The 15974-nt window shown below is 38.0% G+C and overlaps 1 protein-coding gene across 12 annotated transcripts in view; it reads left to right on the forward strand.

Moving 5' to 3' along the window:
• Positions 1-15974, forward strand: part of IQGAP2 (IQ motif containing GTPase activating protein 2) — a 304848-nt gene that overhangs the window by 220271 nt on the left and 68603 nt on the right. For all 12 annotated transcript variants that reach the window (NM_006633.5, XM_017008960.2, XM_047416641.1 and 9 more), the window contains 3 exons: positions 3855-3945; positions 8304-8471; positions 13479-13621. In NM_006633.5, coding sequence (NP_006624.3) covers positions 3855-3945; positions 8304-8471; positions 13479-13621 — 402 coding nt within the window. The remainder of the gene's footprint in view (positions 1-3854; positions 3946-8303; positions 8472-13478; positions 13622-15974) is intronic.

The raw sequence follows: 15974 nt of genomic DNA on the forward strand, positions 1-15974 counted from the left end.
AAAGAATGGCAGAAATTACACAGGCCTTTACAGAACTAAGCCAAAAACAGATGTTGAACAGCAGTAAGTTTTGAATCTGTCCCACATTTCATTTCTTATCCGTTTTAAAAATGCAGTTCCAGAGTGTAATTTCTACTTAATAAATTATCCTTTCCTTTATCTTCCCAGCTATTTCAAATCTTAATCCTTAAACACTTTACATAATTATAAATTAATCATGGAAAACAAACTTTTAAGAAATTCAAATTGAGCGGTGAATCACTTTGAAAATTTTCCATCAATGTAATATTGATTTCAGTTTGTCGTCAGTGCCTGGCCAGAACCTGGCTTTTGAGTGGTGGTGGTTTTTCTTCGCCGGGTGAGGATGGCGTTTGTTCAGGCTTTTTTTTTTTTTTTTGCCTTATCTTGATGTGTTTTGAGCCATTCAATAACCCTTAGGGTCAGATAACTGGAGGAACCTCCCAAACAACGCTGTTCAGTTAAACTAAAATCATAGCACATCATGAAAATGAGGACTCCCTTTATTCCATGAGTGTTGGTGAATAAGTCTACAATAAGATATTTTTAATAGTGGTAAAATATACGTAACATAAAATTTACTATCTTAACCAGTATTAAGTGTACAGTTCAGTAATGTTAAATACATTCACATTGTTGTACAACATATAAGCTTTTATGAATTGTTATATTCTGTAGAGTATGACTTAATATACAGTAAAAAAATGCATTATAACACATTTTTCTGTAGTTAATAAAACTTAAACTTGAAGCCTGACCATCCCACAGCCTGCTCTTTACAAAATGCAGCAAGAATCAGAAAATACAAATTTCACATGAGACTTAAAGGCTAGGGATATGCTAGGAAGAAATTGATCTGCGGAAACCTTTCACATCTTGATTAAATTACATTAGACCAAGATTTTTACAAAGGTCAGTGTTTAATACTTCAACTACATAATATATGGTTATACAAACTGAGATAGAATGTTATTATATTGCAGAAATATAAAACCTAAAATATTGACAAAGGTTTTTTTTGTTTCATTAGAACTTTTCTGGGAGTTATCTAAATTCAGGAATTTATGACTTGATTTGCACATGGCCTAGTTTCTGGTCATTTAATTCATTTGTAACTCTTATGTTGAACCTGGCTGTTTAACTGAAGTGGAGGTGTGGCCGTCCCATAAATATACTATTATTTTCAGTCTTCTGGTGAACAACTGAAAAAGCAGACTTGGCTGGGCACAGTGGCTCATGCCTGTAATCCCAGCACTTTGTAAGGCTGAGGTGGGGGGATCACTTGAGGTCAGGAGTTTGAGACCAGCCTGACCAACATGGTGAAACCCCATCTCTACTAAAAATGCAAAAATTAGCTGAGCGTGGTGGCGGGCGCCTGTTATCCCAGCTACTTGGGAGGCTGAGGCAGGAGAATAGCTTGACCCTGAGAGGCGGAGGTTGCAGTGAGCAAGCCTGGGTGACAGAGCAACACTCCATCTCAAAAATAAAATAAATAAGAAAAAGCAGACTTTACATTGATAAGATTCAGCTTTTACTTTTGGTTTTACATTTAACTCTAGTAATCGTTAGTTCAATGTTTCATAATTTAAACCGTTGACTTAAATTCATCTGATTTGTAATTTCTCTCTTCAGTTTGGCCTATAAGACTAATACTTTAAGCTTTGAAGTAAGATTGTTACTGCCTTCTCATCTGGGTAGAAATCTGTGTGGTGTATCTTCTACAGTGATAAGTTATGAAGGAAGGCAAATACCCTTCAAAAGAACTGAGACACATAAATGAACTCATAGAGCTTAGTTTTTAGGTTATAGCTGGGGAGTGTTGGGTTCTCTTAGATCTTGTAAACAGAGAAAAATTAGCTCCTGCTTCCCTGTCTCTTTTTTTCCTCCTCTAGTCTTCCCCTTTCCACCCGGCTTCCTGTTTGAGCCTCCCCCATCCATTCTTGAAAGAAATGGAAAATCTTGCTGATGCTTCCCTTGTAGTCTGCCGCATAGCTAGAGGTGATTGTGGAAGCAGGCACCAACACTTCCCCAGAGGTCTCCTTTAGCCCAGATGTTGCACGATGAAATAACAGATAGTTTATCTCATTTTCAGAGCCCTTTCCACATGCATTATCTCACGTTAACCTCTGAGGAAAATAGTGTTAGAAGCCTGCCAGAGGAACCAGTGACTATTTCCTCTCCTTCCTGCCCCCATCCATCTTAAGTTTTAAATGACGGAGTCGGTGCCAGATCCATTACCTTTCATTCATCACAGTCTTGACTTAGGATTTAGAACACGACACTTATTCCTACACATAGGTAAAATGTTCCCATTTGTTAAATGTCACATGTTTCCTGAAAATATCTCTGCTGATAATTATTTACTTGCCATCTCAGAAAAGATTTTATAAAACACAATTGCTACCTGGAAGTTCCACTTAATATCTGTCAGGGCTGCTTTTGTAGCAGGACCATCAGAATCAACCCAAAGTTAAATAGGAATATTTACCTATAATAGGAATAATGCAATACATTTTCATTGCTGCTGTTGCTTCCTTTCTAAAGCTATCTTTAACTACTTAGTCTTTGCTCCCCCTGCAACTTGACACCTTTACCATAGGTTAACCCTTTCTCACCTATGTCTGGATCATGTGTCTGCAGTATATATTGCCCTGATCACATTGTATTATAATTCTTTTTCTTTTTTTTCTTCTTTTCTTTTTTTTTTTTTTTTTTTGTGAGACAGAGTCTCACTCTGTCCCAAGGCTGGAGTTCAGTGGCCTGACCTTGGCTTACTGCAACCTCCACCCACCAGGTTCAAGCAATCCTCCCGCCTTCCTCCCAAGTAGCTGGGACTACAGGCATGCACCACCACTCCTGGCTAATTTTTGTATTTTTAGTAGAGATGAGGTTTCACCATGTTGGCCAGGCTGGTCTCGAACTCCTGACCTCAAGTGGTCCACCACCCTCAGCCTCTCAAAGTGCTGGGATTACAGGTGTAAGCCACCATGCCCAGCTATATGTCTTGACACATCTGTCTCTTACACTACATTGTTAGGTCCTTGAGGACAATCACCATGTTGTTGTTTGTTTTTAATTTTTGTCTCTGTGTCTGATAAATATCGACGATCCCTGTGTTTCTCTCAAATTAAAAATATCCCATGGTACCCTGGGACACCTTGACACTTAGTTTGGGAACCACAATAATTGATTGAGGGAGAGAGTGTTTGACTAGGGTAGCCCGGGAAGACTTTTTGGAGTAGGTAGCATTTGAGTTGAGACCTGAATGGTAAGAAAAAGCCAACAGCCACACAGTGAGGGTAGAGTATTGTGGTCTGAAAGAGACTCGTGTGAAGGTCTAGAACAGGAAGGGGGAAGTAAACGGGTGTGAGGTGCAGCCAGAGAGGCAGTAGGCAGGGCCATGCCGTTGGAGCCCCGCCATCCCTGAGAAGGCACCCTGTGTTTCCTTCTAACTGCCGGGGGAAGCCTTTGGGGAAGCTTTAAGTAGAGGAGTGGTGCACTGAGCTATCTATTTTGAAGGGATCCTCTGGGCCCTCTGTAGAGGGCCACTGTGGTGAGGGCAAGCTTAGATGCAGCAGAAGCTGCTAGGGGGCTGATGCAGCTGTCCAGTTGGGAGATGATGGGGGGCTGGACTAAAGAGTGGTGGGGAAGAAGGAGGAAGTGGTCGGGTTTGGGGTCTGCTTCATTAGGAGTGTGTACAGTATATGGCAGAGCTGGATAGTTGCTGATTAAGAATTTGTGGGAATTATGATTAAATGGCTCCTCAAAAGCAGTTATTAATTCTGTTTCCTCATCATTCACTCTTCTTTCTTTTTATTCTGTGACATTGTCCCCAGGACTCTGAGAGTGTTTCCAAAGTGCTTTGGCTGGATGAGATACAGCAAGCCGTCGATGATGCCAACGTGGACAAGGACAGAGCAAAACAATGTAAGCCCTCACCTCCTTTGCTCTTGAAACTTGCCTTTTTGGATTTGGTTATGTGCCTGAAGTCATGTGATTTTTAATTTCTGAAAGATTTGGATTCTTACCAAGTTTTAGTTCTTGGACACATAATTATACCGAAATTAGTTGGTTGCCCTATTGTCAGTGATTTGACTCTATCTCCAACAAAATGTAACAATGTTGCTGAACAAAATCCAGAAGGTAAAAAATAGTTTTTAAGCTCTCAAATTGTATAATTGAATAAAATTCTTTTTTTCTCTTGATTTTTAGAGAACTAGACCATTTCTACTTAATAAATGCCTTTTTCTCCTTTCCATGGCCTTTATAGTTACCAGGGTTTTCCACAGAAACAGAACCAATAGGAGACCTATGGAGTTGGCTAGCTGATCATGGTGCAACTAGAAGTGAAATAGACTGGCAGTCTACTCAATTCTTACTTAATCTGTACAACTGGATGAGTTTTGGGTCAAGCAAACAGAAGTCTACCTTGAATCATAAAAATAGTCATGGACCCTCAATCAGTTCCCAGAATGGGGCCAGTTTACAAACCCAGAACCCCTCAAATGAAGGGAAGGCCAGGCCCCTTGAGGAAAAACTCAGCTACACTACCAAAAATTTATACTGTTAGTCTTTCTTCCACCCCTCCCCCAAAGGGACCTATGGCCTTTTACCAGGGTGACTGTACTTAGGAGAAAGTACATAATCAGACTTTTGGGAATTAGTGGACACTTGCTCTGAACTGACACTAATTCCAAGAGGCCCAAAACATAACTGTGGTCCACCAGTCAATGTAGGGGTTTGTGGAGGTCAGGTGATGAATAGAATATTAGCTCAGATCCATCTCACAGTGGGTCCCTAAACTCTTTCTGTGGTTACTTCCCCACTTCTGGAGTGCATAATCGGAATAGGCATAATCAGCAACTGGCAGAATCCCCACATTGGTTCAAATGATAAAATTGTTTAACCCTCTGTTTTTAAGGAAGAATAACATGAAAATTCACATGATAGTCTGAAATAGCTTCTAAATTGCTATACTAACATTCTCCATATATAAATTAAGATTCCTAAAAATATATTTCACTAACCTGCCAACTGATGGCATAATTAGAATCTATTCTGTTGTATCAGGTCAGAGAAGGTTCTTAAGATGACTTTGTCTTACTCCACAGATGGGCTTTTCAACCTCGGAAGCATCTGTGAGAAACATCTGGGCTTTATCTCCTTAGCTTAGAAAAATGTGTGTATTTCTCTAACCTGAACTTTTATTCCCTAAGGAACTTTGAAGTCTTTCCTTTCTAGCACGCCTTAAGAAAAAAATAATGAAGTGGAGGTGTGTATATAAGAAATTTCAACTTAAATATAAAACTGAAGGAAGCCATGGTCTGAAGAGACAGTTTTGAGAAAGTAGATTGTAATTTAGACATTCAAATAGCCTAAGATGGTTATGATTTGTCTCTTAGAAATCAAACCAATTTAGAAGGTTTTTAAAATGTTCTTATATTCATTGTTCTTACATTCGGCCTGCAAATGTCAAGTTGATTCTGTTTTTCACATTGAGACTCATGGTTCTATTGACTATAAAAGTAAGAGGATTTCTCAAATGTATAATTTTGTACTCTGTATTGCACATCTAAAATCCTATCTTTTCACTCTGTCCTGTCCCTTAAAGAGCCGATATACTTTCTTTTACTATATCTTAAACAGCAAAAAAGATTTTCCAAAGTTAATGCTACCTATGAGAATTTTCTGACTTTCAACAAGAATTTGATTAAAAACATTCTTCATTATTTGCATGAAGACTTGAAATAGATTCTGGTCACACACTATAAGCATCACACACACTCTCAGATAATATGATAAAAGAAAATGTGTTGGCCCAAATATGTTACCACCAGCAAAATTTAAAAGGGCAGAGTAACTCAAGTCCCTTTCATTTTGGCCTAGTGTTCACATTCACTGGAGTATCTTGCTTGCTTAAAGTAGATTTGCCTCTACTTTTGATTCCTTAGAGCAGTCTTTCTCTACCTTTTTCTCATTATGGCACCCTAAGGAATCTTTTTAGACAGTTTTTTCTCTAATCACTCCTTACCATGAAATTTTAATGCCACAGATATTTTGTATACCTGTTTATGTGCCATATGTAGACCTGTACTTTATACATAAAGAGATTTTTTTCACTCCCTCCCTGCAGGAACTAATTTTTGCCCCGTTAGGGGTTCTATCACCTCCACTGTGAATGTGTGCCTTAAGAGAGCCTGCTGGTATATGGCTTAAGATGTAAAGCAAACATTTTTTGGATCTCTTAGGAGATTTATGGAGGTTTCTTAATTTGTTCCTTGGCAGAAACATACCTGACTTTCTGGAGTGAAAGTCATCTATCTGATATCTTCAACTATCTGGAACTTAGCTACAACTCACAGATTAAGAAAAAAAGCAATCAAAATAGATATCTCAAAGCAAGCGCATTGAAGTTAATCTACTTTATTCACTGAGCACCCCTCAGATAGACACTTTGAGCCTGTTGATTCTTTTCTTAGGCAAAACTCTATTATCTTGGTAGTTTCTTTTCCTGGTTGGTTGTGACTTAGAGCACATCAGAAGCCACAAGTCACAAGGCAGTAAAGTGCTTAAGCTGCCATAGGCAGGCACACCAATGTCAGTAAAAAGTGACAGCTGACAGTGAAGGAAGAAGGAAAAACTAAGAAGCATAGGAGTTATTAAGGCTATTTCGTGCAGGAGCCAGTAAGCCCAAACACCTCCACAGTCCTTGAAAATAACACTCACCAGATTATAGCACAGCACAATTTTAATGACAAGGACTCTTCTGGCAGCTCTCAGCAGACATTAAGCACCTACTTTATACCATAGACTTTGGGTAAAATAAGGAGCAATAGCAGCTGTCCTGTTAGGATTTTCTCTAAGGCATGTTTTAGAGTTCCATCGAAAATGGTTCTATTAAGATGAGAGTTGATCCATAAAGGAATTAGCTTCAGTTATCTGGAAATTGACCTGTGAACCAGCTCATCGATACTCAATGATGATATATCCAAGAAATGTGTGCCTTTTGTAATATCTTTTAAGGAAAATTGCATTTTATTGGGTTAGATGACACTGTCACATGTAGTTCATGTGATAATTTTTGTCATTTTCTTGTTCCTATTACTTTTCTTGGACCACAAACTTCTCAATTGCCAGTACTCTTATTTTCTCTATCCTACAAAGCTTTCCTGGAGAAGAGGAAAGGGCTATGTCTACCCATGTTCTATTAACCTCTGTTAGCATAAGAACATGCTGCCATACCTTTTGTTCAACAACCACTGGAGTTTGCCTGAGAAGTTCTCCCCTTCATCTATATGTGCCCCTCCAGATTTGCATGACTTTGACTCCAGGTTGTTGAAAGTCAATCTCTGTTTTTCTTTCTCCTTTAACCCTCATAGTGCTATGCACATGTGAACATAATTTGATGACAACGAATTGTAATTTAATATTTGTAGAGTTTGATGTACGTGTAAGAAAAAAAGAGAAAGCATCCGTGTCTCCCTTCTCTTTTCCTCAAGATGTTTTTCATGTAGGAAGTATTTTAACTTGGCCTCTTTCATTTTTCTGGTTCTACTTTTCTAACTCAGTGCATTTACTGGTTGTGAAAACTCTAGTCCTATCGATTGGACATTCTTACCTGGAATTAAGGTGGGAAATAATTCACTAAGTTAACTTTCCTTAGGCAACCAAGAGTTTAATGTGTTTTGTTAATGAGGAGGGGTAGAAATTTGCAATGGGATAAAATGCTTGTTAGGTCTAAAATGGTTCCAGAATTAAGTTTTAGGACTCCGTTGCACATATCCACCAGCTCTGCCTTTCTAGAACACTTGTTTAGGTTGTTTTTGACAATCTTGCTAAATATATTAGCACTATACAAGAGAATACCAGGATTTCTGTAACTTAAAAAGGATTTTGCTTATCCTAAAGTAAACAAATGTCTTTGTAAAACTAGTTCTCAAATACATGCTAATGCCCTAGGTTACAGCTACATATCTATGTTCGTGTGTATTCACCCCATTTCATAGATTACTACAGCAAGCAAAACCTAGTGCCTTCATACCACATATGAGTAACCAGGAAAGACTATTGTTTTTAATAAACCATACTCCCATGGTATCTAATTCTTCTTATGGACTAAACTGGTCTGTGAATTTGTGATTGTCTTGGGCATATGTGGTAAATATTCTCAAAGGGTAAAAATGTTTGATACTAATGCATTCCTAAAACGTTGAATTATATATTTGCATGCCTTGAAGTAAGTGGAAGATAACCATTAACAAGAAACTTTTTTTTCAATTACCCAGGGGTTACTCTGGTGGTTGATGTTAATCAGTGTTTGGAAGGAAAAAAATCAAGTGATATTTTGTCTGTATTGAAGTCTTCCACTTCTAATGCAAATGACATAATCCCGGAGTGTGCTGACAAATACTATGATGCCCTTGTGAAGGCAAAAGAGCTCAAATCTGAAAGAGGTAAGTTGGTTTGTTACTTTAGCACAAACTAAGTATTTTAAATATCATTTCTGTGGTATTATATTTTCTTAATTTTAAGACAAGTAATGCTTTCAAATTAACATTTCTGTAATTTTTTGTCATCTATGGCTAAGGAAATTAGGAAAAGTTTTAGATGTTTCTTTTTAGTTTTAGAAAGCTATGATGAGCTCAGTGGCAATATATGGATGGCATTAAGAAAATGTCATATTTGAGGAGTCTGTGCCTTATACAGGTCATGCTTATTGATTCATTTATTCGTGTGAGTAGACCAGTGATATAAACAGATGTTTACACTAATATTTTCTCTCACCTAATCCTTTGTGATTGCACAGTATTAAGTAGGGGTAAAGAGTAATTCTGAATATATGAAATAAAGTACAATGAGCCAGCCTGCAAGGGATCAGTTGGCAAAGCTAGGCAACTAGTTATGCCTACTCAATCCAATGGCAGAGCCTACATTGTTAGCTCTGGAAAGAATCTTTGAGACTACACAGTTTGATACTCATTTTTCAGATTTGGAAGTTCACATTGGTAAGATTTCAGACAGAGGGAAAGAATGGTAGACCCAAGGACAATTAATTTTTATTCCAGAATTCCTTTAGTAGATTTTTATTAAGCACCTACTATTTCCTAGTGTCAAGGATCAAGGTGGCTGTCAACTTCTAGGCTAGTATTTATTTGTACCACATTGTAGGTCATCTACAGGATACTATTCATCTTTAAGAAACTAGTGTGACAGTGTGTGGCCTTAGAAGTAGAGCTTAAGGAAAAAAAAAAACTTTTTTAGTCCAACTTGATGTTTGTCTAGTAGTACTCTATGTACTTGTTTTCAAGTTTCATATATTTCCAACTTGGAGATTCCACCTTAAAATTCAGTTAATTTTCTGTTAATGAAATGACCACTCTCTTACTTGGCATCTGGTCACCCTTGAGTCCCTCTCTGTTCCATTCAGATCTCTTCATCAAGAATTACTGTAATGTCCCCTGTCTCATCCTTCATTGGGAAAGAATTGCATAATTGTATAAATGAGCTATCCTAATTTCAAATTCATCCTGGAAAAAACTTAGTTCATCTTCTGTCTCCTAAACTTGCTATGTCGTTTCCCACATGTCATATTTGGGTGACTATAGTCAAATCCCTGTGTATCCAATTCAGAAACCTAGGAAGTGCTTTAGATTCATTCTTCTGGGAAGAAAAAAATGGCAGCAAGACTTTTGTCAGCTGAGATCATATTGAATCTGTAGGTAAATTTGAGAAGTCTTGCCATCTTAACAATATTCTGATCCATGTACATGGGTATCTTTCCTTTTAATCAAGTTTAAAACTCTTTCAACAATTTTTTGTAGTTTTCTGCATATAAGGCTTGCATTTGTTTCATTAAATTTATTCCTAAGTATTTTATCATTTTTATTTTATTGTAAATATTGTTTTTTAATTATATTTTGGGATTGTTTATTGCTAGTTTATAGATATACGATTGACTTTTTATTGAGAAATAATTTATATGCCATAAAATTGTCCTTTTAAGGTATGTAATTAAGAGGTTTTTAGTATATTCACAAGGTTGTACATCCAACACCTCTAGTTAATTCCAGAACATTTTCATCACACCAAAACAAAACCCAATACTTATTAGCAGTAAATCCCCATCACCCACTCCCCAGCTCCAGGCAACTACTAATCTACTTTCTGTCTTTGGCCTATTTTGGACATTTCATGTAAACAGAATTATACAATACATAGCCTTTTGTGCCTGGCTTCTTTTACCTAGCATAATATTTTCAGAGTTCATTCATGTAGCATTAGTCAGTTCGTCCTTTTTTGTGGCTAATATTCCATTGTATGAATATGCCACATTTTGTTTACCCAGCCATCAACTGATGGAACCTGTATTCTGCGCCACCCCCTCCCCCCAACTTTTGGCTATTCTAAATGAGACTGCTATGAATATTCATGTCCAGGTTTTTTCATGGATATATCTTTTCGTACAACTGATTTTTGTATATTGATCTTGTATCCTACAACCTTGCTGAACTCATTCTAATCATTTTTAGTAAATTTCTTGTGCTGCCATCCGCCTTAATAAATAAAGTTTCACTGAAATCCAGCCACACATTAATTTATATATGGTCTATGGCTGCTTTCCTGCTGCAGTGGTAGTGCTGAGTGGTTGTTTCAGAGACCCATAGCCTGCAAAACTGAAAATATTTGCCTTTTTTTTTTTTCTTTTCGAGATGAAGTCTCACTCTGTCACCCAGGCTGGAGTGCAGCAGGGCAATCTTGGCTCACTGCAACCTCAGCCTCCTGGGTTCAAGCAATTCTGCCTCAGCCTCCCGAGTAGCTGGCATTACAGTTACCTGCCAACATGCCTGGCTCATTTTTGTATTTTTTAGTAGAGACGGGGTTTCACCATGTTGACCAGGTTGGTCTCGAACTCCTGACCTCAAGTGATTCACCTGCCTCGGCCTCCCAAAGTGCTGAGATTACAGGCATGAGCCACTGCACCCAGCCCCTACTCTCTGACTCTACGGAAAACGTTTGCCAACCCCTGTTCTAGAAAGAAGAGCATCCCAAGCAATTAAAGACTGATTCTCACCTCCAGATAGAGCTATGAGCATTGTTTTCAGGCACGCACAGGATGATTTATTCTTATCTCTTTCACCTCTGGTTCTAGGATGTCTTATCTTTTCCCAAACTGAAACATCTACCATTTGGTGGATGGATTACTCAGCCTTGTAACTCAGTTTAACGCTTCTATATGTTCGCGTATAATTTTGTCTGCAAGGCATCTAAAAAGTATGCCTCCTTGTGGAATGTTCATCACCTCTTAACTAACTGTAATCAGTCTTTTTTCTAAGTAACAAACCAACTGTATTTCTTAGGAAAACTATTTGGAGCCCATGCTGGAAAGTAGCTCTCCTCAGCCTCTGATCTAACTACATTCAAACTAGATGTGAAAAATGTAGGAATTCTACTTTCCTATTACCTACTGACATCCTAACCCAAGTAAAGCCTTCTAATGCCATTCAGATCTCTTCATCAGGAATTACTGTAATGTCCCCTGTCTCATCCTTCATTGGGAAAGAATTACATAATTGTATTAATGAGCTATCCTAATTTCATATTCATCCTGGAAAAAACTTAGTTTATCTTCTCTCTCCTAAACTTGCCTGCTTCTTTTCCCACGTGTCATATTTGGATGAGAGCTAAAAACAACAGAAAAATATAAGAAGTTCTAACTTAGACTAAGCTAAGTCAGCTGCTATCAAGTGAGCTTTAGACTCATTGCCTTTCCATGTAAATCAAAGTTCAAGTGAATTGACCATTGGTGATTGTCTTTTAACCAACTAACAAATTTTTTACTTCTCAGTTCAAGTGACGGGAGAAACATTTTCACCAGCTTTGCTTGCTTTCTTTCCTTCCCACTGAGACAGTTGCCTTAAGAAGGGTGATTATTCTTCTGAAAACATTTATGAATCTGACAACTATTGGTAATTGAAAATATCATAATTGGCTGGTTGTGGTGGTTCATGCCTATAATCCCAGCACTTTGGGCGGCTGAGGTGAGCGGATTGCTTGACCCCAGGAGTTTGAAAACAGCCTGGACAACATGGCAAAACCCATCTCTACAAAAAAATACAAAAAATTAGCCAGGTGTTGCATGATCCTGTGGTCCCAGCTACTCTGGAGGCTCATCTGAGCCTGGGGAGGTTGAGGCTGCAGTGAGCCTTGGTCACACCACTGTTCTCCAGCCTGGGTGACAGAGTGAGACCCTGTCTCAAAAGCAAGAAAGAAAGGAAGGAAGGGAGGGGAGAGGAGGGTAGGGGGAGGGAAAGGAAGGAAGAAAGAATAATAATTACTTGTAAACATCCTAACTTGACTGTACAATGTATTTTCTAGTAGACCAATGTTTCTAAACAGATGAACCAGCTGTCTGGCTGCCCATTGAAAAGAGATACATCTCTCTTCCTGGGCATTGACAAACAGAAAGAACAGGTGAGGGGCATTTAAAGCCAAATGAAGCATCAACACATATTAAAGAGCCTTAAAGTTACCCCTGCTTAGTTATTTACATGCATTTCAATATTCTGTGAAAAAATTCACTTGAACTCTGATTTACCTGGAAAGATAATGAGTCTAATGCTCACTTGATACAGTTGACTTAGCTTAGTCTAAGTTAGAACTTCTTATGTTTTTCTGTTGTTTTTAGCTCTCAGGTCTGGGGACCAGAATTGTAACCATTCAACAAAATAAACAGATTTCTAAATATGAAGTTTAGCCCATGGATTCATGAGGAGGAGAGATTCTTGACCAATCTAAGTCATGACTACCATAGGATTTTCTAACACCCCTTCCCCAAAATTAAGTTTCAAAAAAATTTTTTTCTCATTTCTTGTGGTTGCACAGCACAAAATGAGTCAGAGGAACCAGGAATTTTCTTTTTCCCCACTTTAGTTGACCTTTGTGTTGTGCATATGCCATTTTGTACTTTGAGTAACGTTGTCTCCAAAGGTTCTGCTTTGGTTTAATGCCGAACATTGGCCGTCCTTAAATAAGGGCCACAGTCCTTGTGGGTATCTCCTTATTGGAGAAATTGCAGGTAAACTTTGTAAGCAAAGAGGATCTTGCCGATTGGTCTCCTTTGTCTACATGTGTTGTTTGCATCTACCTGGGACTTATAATTATTGTTTGCTTTTCCTTCTCTTTGGCTGCTTTTGGCCAAACATGTTTTTATCATCCTCATGAAAGATTTAAGTTCCAGAGCTAGCCTTAGATATTTGTGTCTCTTCCTTTTCTTTGGGTTAGCAGGCATCTGCCATTAAATACATCGAATTCATTCCATGTTAGTGGGTCACTTCTGATGCCTTTGGCTGTCTGAAGGTTTGGTGAAAAACATATTCAATTATTTTACATATTAAAGAAACTACACTAATGTTTAAGGGTTCACTGTGTCTGTGTAGAATTTAACAAACTTTTTTCTTTAGTGTCTAGTGACGGTTCATGGCTCAAACTCAACCTGCACAAAAAATATGACTACTATTACAACACTGATTCAAAAGAGAGTTCCTGGGTCACACCTGAATCATGCTTGTATAAAGAATCATGGCTCACAGGAAAAGAAATCGAGGTAGGAGGTTGGTGTTTGATGGATAACTCTACTGTATAAAGTTAAATTTGACTGGTTTTCTATTTCTGAATCATGGAAGTGATGAGAGGAACTAACTGATTTATCTGAAGTCTGGATATGTAATAAAGTCTTCATGAACTGCAGTTGAATGTGGCTGCATTGTTACTAATGTACAGAATTTTTTCCATATTGGCTTAACAAAACCAAATAGAGCAGGGGGAAGAAATATTTCACTATTTATTTGGGATGGTAGATTATCCTAAGAAATCAATCTTAAGATTTTCCTTGACTTAATTAAGCTCAATTAATGATAATTCCTGGGTTGTCAATATTTAAAAGGTATTTCTTTCCCCCCATCTCAGCCTGCAACTTAACATTGTACCTTTCAAACCAAAATGTCATTTTTTTCTACAAAGTGCTGGAGAGGGCATCTCTGCCACACATGGCCCCAGCCATCTCCAGGACAGCTTCGGAAGCAAAGAACAGAGTTGGGCAAAGAGCAGGATGGGTAAACATTAAATGTTTGCTTCTTCCGAGATGGTCATCTTAGCATGTTTTCATTGCTTAACATTTCTAGAGATCTGGATGTACCCATGTCCAAATGTAAGTGCAAACATCACAATTGAGTGTATCTTATACTTTGCTTTCAATTAACTGACATAAAAATTAGCCATGTGTCCATGTATTGTACTAACCAAGAGTTAAACAAGATACATTGAACTGGAATTTCTATTTAACTACTAAAGGTCCCTTTTAACTAATCTGTGACCCATATTTGAAAGCTTTCTTCTACCAGATTTTACTTATTGAAAGCAATTTGTCCCTCCTCTCATCTCTTTTTAACCAAACTATATAAATAGTACCTGTTTGAGCTTCTTGTTAGGAGTAAAGAAATAGTGCATTAGTGAACATAGTGTCATTATTGACTATTAGGACATTTGTTAGTTTTTGTTTCTCTTTTTGGGGGAACATTTGTTATTTTAAATAAAAGAAGAAACTCATTTAGAAAAGTCTGCATTAGGTGAAACCCCATCTTTACTAAAAATACAAAAATTAGCTGGGCATGGTGGCGGGCACCTGTAATCCCAGCTACTTGGAAGGCTGCATCAGGAGAATTGCTTGAACCCAGGAAATGGAGGTTGCAGTGAGCCAAGATCGCACCATTGCACTCCAGCCTGGGCGACAAGAGCTACACTCTGTCCCGGGGAGGGAAAAAAGCCCAGAAAAGTCTGCGTTAGAATCTCAGGTTCAGATGCTTTTTCTCGTTATAAACAAGACTGGCTGGAGTCTCAGGGGTCCTCCTGATTCCCCCATGTGCCTTGTCCATTGTAGTCCTAATTCCCTCCCAAATATTCAGCAATTTTTATATATATAGGAGCCCAGGGCTGAAGTATTTACAAAAAAAGATAACAAGAGCAAAGCTAGGAGAAAAAGTACAGCCAAAAGAGCTATTTTCAGTTTCAGTTCTAGGTCACTGAATTTCATTCATTTTTTAGTTGCCCCTCCCTACATAGAGGAATGAGAGGAGCACTTTGACAATAGATTATTTGCATAATCATGGCTTTGTTAGATCTGAATGTTTTCTTGCAACATGGGAATAGGGAACTAAATGCTTGGTGAGGCTTTCCTGAAACAAAAGACTTAGCTATAAACAGGTAGTGAGGTAGATCTTGCCGAATGGCCTTGTTTGTGAGGTGGTTCTTTGCTTTGTCTGAAGTTGGTGGGCAGCCATGAAGAAACAGGAGGGGGTAAAGTCAGAGGAATGTGAAATTGGAATCAACCCTTGTAGCAAGATGTCTGAAACAAGTTATGGCCAAAAGTAACCTTTCCAACTGGTGTCTCTACAAATACCCAAAGAATGTGTAGAACTGCGAATGAGGTCTCCTGAAACCATAAACATAGCCAAGTACCCCTCATTTGTATGGAGTTTCACTTTCCAATGTACTTTCACATCACTTTGATCCCTAAATTATCCTCTAAGTAGAGATAGAGCAAATATTCTCATCTTCTATTTTTCTAAGTGAGGAAATTGGGGCACAGAGTAGGTGAAGCAGTTTGTACTAATTCTGCAATTTGTGTAGATTTTGTCAATAAACAGATTTATTTCCAGTGCTTCCAACTTCTAGTCTAGTATGTTTTCCACTTTTTGCATTGTTTTTGACACAGTCACCGGTATCTCTGAGTGGTTATATCATGTGCCCATTGCTCTGGAATTAATAACATAAGTTGGTGGCTTAAGAAATACATAGGTACTTTAAAAAGTGAGTAATGCTTCCTAGGAGGAATACTCTTGAAGGAATATTCACCAACATTGCTTTGGATTTAAAAACAAAAACAAAAGTTGGACCCAAAG

The sequence above is a fragment of the Homo sapiens genome, chromosome 5, assembly GCF_000001405.40.
Source record: "Homo sapiens chromosome 5, GRCh38.p14 Primary Assembly".
Taxonomy (NCBI): Eukaryota; Metazoa; Chordata; class Mammalia; order Primates; family Hominidae; genus Homo; species Homo sapiens.